The sequence below is a fragment of the Homo sapiens genome, chromosome 20 (genome assembly GCF_000001405.40).
Source record: "Homo sapiens chromosome 20, GRCh38.p14 Primary Assembly".
NCBI classification, from domain to species: Eukaryota; Metazoa; Chordata; class Mammalia; order Primates; family Hominidae; genus Homo; species Homo sapiens.
Window position 1 is genome coordinate 225,648 of NC_000020.11, and position 4,469 is coordinate 230,116.

General features: G+C 41.6%; 1 protein-coding gene across 1 annotated transcript; it reads left to right on the forward strand.

Moving 5' to 3' along the window:
- The first annotated feature begins 1,610 nt into the window (after positions 1-1,610).
- Positions 1,611-4,239, forward strand: DEFB129 (defensin beta 129). The gene is made up of 2 exons (NM_080831.4): positions 1,611-1,699; positions 3,631-4,239. The coding sequence occupies exons 1-2, from the start codon at positions 1,642-1,644 to the stop codon at positions 4,122-4,124; spliced, it is 552 nt and encodes a 183-aa protein (NP_543021.1). The 5' UTR covers positions 1,611-1,641; the 3' UTR covers positions 4,125-4,239.
- The last annotated feature ends 230 nt before the right edge of the window (positions 4,240-4,469 follow it).

The window sequence follows — 4,469 nt, forward strand, 5'->3', positions numbered from 1 at the left end:
TCAGAGCCAATGAGCTTCAATATCTGAGTTTCTTAGGAAATGTCCCAAATTAGCAGGGGAAAGCATCTGATTGGTAGGCTTGGTTCTATTGTTACACCTGGATCAATCAGCTACGACCAAGGAATCTGAGCAGTACACTATAAAAATTGCTGCTTTTAATTATTTCAACCATTGTGGAAGATAGTGTGGCAATCCCTCAAAAACCTAAAGTCAGAAATACCATTTGACCTAGCAATCCTATTACTGGGTATATGCCCAAAGGAATATAAATGGTTCTATTATAAAGACACATGCATGCATATGTTCACTGCAGCGCTATTCACAATAACAAAGACATAGAATCAACCCAAATGCCCATCATTTGGCCATTTGGATAAAGAATGGATAAAGAAAATGTGGTACATATATACCACGGAATACTATGCAGCCATAAAAAAGAATGAGATCGTGTCCTTTGCAGGGACATGGATGGAGCTGGAGGCCATTATCCTTAGCAAATGAAGGCAGAAACAGAAAACCAAATACTGCATGTTCTCACTTATAGGTGGGAGCAAAATGATGAGAACACATGGACACACAGAGGGGAACAACACACACTGGAGCTTACTGGAGAGTGGAAGGTGGGAGGAGGGAGAGGATGAGGAAAAATAACTAATGGACACTAGGCTTAATAGCTGGGTGATGAAATAATCTATACAACCAACCCCCATGACACACATTACCTATGTAACAAACCAGCACATCCTGCACATATACCCGCGAAGTTAAAAAAGTTTTTTTTTAGTTGCTACTTTAAAAGGATGTGGGAATCATTGTAAACTCAAAAGTTAAAGATGTGCCAAGAGCTGTCTCCCACGAACTTGTTTAACAAACGTACTGACTTTGTATGTTGATCCAATACCCATGCTGGCCACTGGACATACCAGTACAAACAAGGCAGAATCTTCACTCTCCTCTAGCTCTTCTAATTCTCATGCACTAAGTGCCAACCTTAGCATAACTGGGCTGACAATCAGTGAATCAAATATCTAACTCTTATCCTACTCCAACGTTAAGAAAGAGACATGCGACTGGGTGCGGTGGCTCATGCCTGGAACCCCAGCACTTTGGGAGGCCAAGGTGGGCGGATCACTTGAGGTCAGGAGTTTGAGACCAGCCTGGCCAACATGGTGAAACCCCGTCTCTACTGAAAATACAAAAGTTAGCTGGGCATGGTGGTGCATGCCTGTAGTCCCAGATACTCTACTTGGGAGGCTGAGGCAGGAGGATTGCCTGAACCTGGGAGGCGGAGGTTGCAGTGAGTCGAGATCACGCCACTGCACTCCAGCCTGGGCAACAGAGTGAGACTCCATCTCAAAAAAGCAAAAGAGAGACACATGCAAAGGGCTTGCTCTTTCTTTCTCATCTTACCTATCTTATGTTTTCCTCCAGGATCAAGAGCAAGGAATTTGTTGCATAGAGGTGTTCAAGAAAGGGTGTTTTCAAACAGAGTCAGAAAAAACACAACTATACTGCGAGCAGCATACAAACCTGCTTTGGCTGCACTTCACTGCTCATGGCATAAGGCCACGAAGAGGCCAATAAAGGCTGGAGCTCAGGAGCATCAACCCAGATTCAAGGCTTCCTCTCTGGCACCCAACCATGAAGCTCCTTTTTCCTATCTTTGCCAGCCTCATGCTACAGTACCAGGTGAACACAGGTAATGTGGATTCCCAAGTTTAAGATGGGTAGATGAGAGGAACCAAGGATTTGGCTGCCCATGACAATGGAAACCCAAAGAGAGGAGACTGAAAGATTAGCTGTTCAAAAAGATGGCTAAAGAGCTTACCTATTGTATCAGTCATGCACTGATACATTCTCATAGGCCCCAACTGCCAGATTGTGTCCAGTGGAAACACCCAGGAAGCTACAGAGAAAGCAGGGTATTTTTTGTCTATTCAGAAACTATCCAAAATATAATGCTGCCTTCCTGCCCTGTATATGTCTATCATGCTAAGACTAAGCCCAGGTCTACCTCCTTTTAGCTCTATTTCTATCTTAAAAGCCCTTTTTTTTTAAAAAAAGTCCTGGGGTACTTGTGCAGGATGTGCGGTTTGTTACATAGGTAAATGTGTGTCATGGTTATTTGCTGCACCTACCAACCCATCGCCCAGGTATTAAGCCCAGGATGCATTAGCTATTTTTCCTGATGCTCTCCCTCCACCCAACAGGCCCCAGTGTGTGTTGTTCCCCTTCCTGTGAAACCACCTCTTGAAGCAAAGTTTCCTATCAGTTTGTGCTTGGTGTAGAAAGGAGGAAGTTCTTCCCTCATGCTCAAAAAAAAACCCTTTCAAGATCAAGTAAACAGGCCTGTGTTCTCCATCTTGAATTCTTTCAGGTTTTCCAGAGCCTTTATCGCTTCTCTCAGACTTTGTCTTCCTGAAAACCCCCAAACTACCATAAGGGCATCTAGGAATGCATTATAGCAAAAGGCTAAGCCAGGGGATTAACCATTGTTTTTGGAAAAGAAAGGAGAAGCACTGAGATTTGTTTCAGAATACAAGAATCATCCAGCTATTTGAAAAAATTAGCAAAGGGTTTCGGGGCAGGGAAAGTGGAAGTGTCAAAGATGCTTCTAATGTTTTTATCTTCTAATGTTTTTATCTTGGGACCCTAGGAAAAGGGTAGTACCATAAGCAAGTATGGCTGTGTCATCTTGGGTAAAGTCACTTAACCACTTTGAACTTCAATTTCACATGAGTATAATGGGGTTAATCAATGCAGCTGATTCCAATATAAGAATTTTTCTGTTTCCCGTTTGATGAGAAAACAATGTGGAAATGTATGCAAATATGCTTTGAAAATTAGCAGATGCTACATAAATCTCTTGTAATTTAGGGAAAATCATTGGGTTATTAAGATGAACAAGGGAGAAAAGCTTTCTTGATTCAGAAAAAAGAAACACGAGACATTAGGATGGAAAAGTCATTCAGCAGATAAAGATAAGGTACTAAGCCGAGCAGGAAATTTAGAATTATAGATAACAATACAGAAGTTACCTTGGTGGATATGAGGTTAAGGCTAGGATAATGAATGAGACTTCTGAGAGATAGAGTGTCCAAAGAGGCTAGAAGAGATAGAACACCATGCTTCAGGAATCACAGATCTAGTGATTGTTGAGAAGAGAGAAGTCATGGGCTACTGAGTTTGGTGAAAAGATAAGACTCCTGAAAATTCTATTGATTCTCTTTTGAACTTCTTTCTTAAATTAGTTTTATGATGGACTTGGCTCTCATTGGTATTTCCCAAGATTATGGAGATGGGATAGTGATGTCTGACAAGTACCTAAGATGCTAAGTTGAAGGTCTAAAATTCCATCCTAAAAGCAAATAATTACTCTATCATCTACGTGCCCTTTGCTTCTTAAAGTTACTCAAGGAAGGCAGACTAAACAGGAAATTTACTTTGGATTCAAGAGGGGCATAGAGACGCTCTCAGCCTGCCCATTTGCCTTCATCAACATTCCTAAACACTGGGCTTAAAATGTAGTATGAGTAAACTCTCTCTTAGTCTATCCATCTCCCACTAGCAGTTTTAACATCATCTCTAGTTATTAACCTTGGCTCAATGGCTTTCTCTTTTTTTATACAGAATTTATTGGCTTGAGACGCTGTTTAATGGGTTTGGGGAGATGCAGGGATCACTGCAATGTGGATGAAAAAGAGATACAGAAATGCAAGATGAAAAAATGTTGTGTTGGACCAAAAGTGGTTAAATTGATTAAAAACTACCTGCAATATGGAACACCAAATGTACTTAATGAAGACGTCCAAGAAATGCTAAAACCTGCCAAGAATTCTAGTGCTGTGATACAAAGAAAACATATTTTATCTGTTCTCCCCCAAATCAAAAGCACTAGCTTTTTTGCTAATACCAACTTTGTCATCATTCCAAATGCCACCCCTATGAACTCTGCCACCATCAGCACTATGACCCCAGGACAGATCACATACACTGCTACTTCTACCAAGAGTAACACCAAAGAAAGCAGAGATTCTGCCACTGCCTCGCCACCACCAGCACCACCTCCACCAAACATACTGCCAACACCATCACTGGAGCTAGAGGAAGCAGAAGAGCAGTAATGTGGATCTTTCCCTTAAAACTCCAAGTTCCTCTCTATTTTTGCTATCTATAAAATGACATAGAACTGTTTCCTCTGTCATCAGTCATTCAATAAACACTGTTTGAGCACCTACAGTTTATGTAATATTATCATTCTCACAAGAGCCTCACAGAGGGGGTAGAGCTAGGGAGGGATGGAATTGTTTAAGTTTAGATGCCCAGGAGAAAGTAAGCCTCAGGAGGGTGACTACAGCATCGAGTTTGTCCCAAGCATGGCCTAGATTAGGCCTCTGTAGCAAGCATTTATGTCTCTCATATGGTGTGTTTTTCCTGGAGCAACAGTAAGGAAAGCATCAGGAGATGTA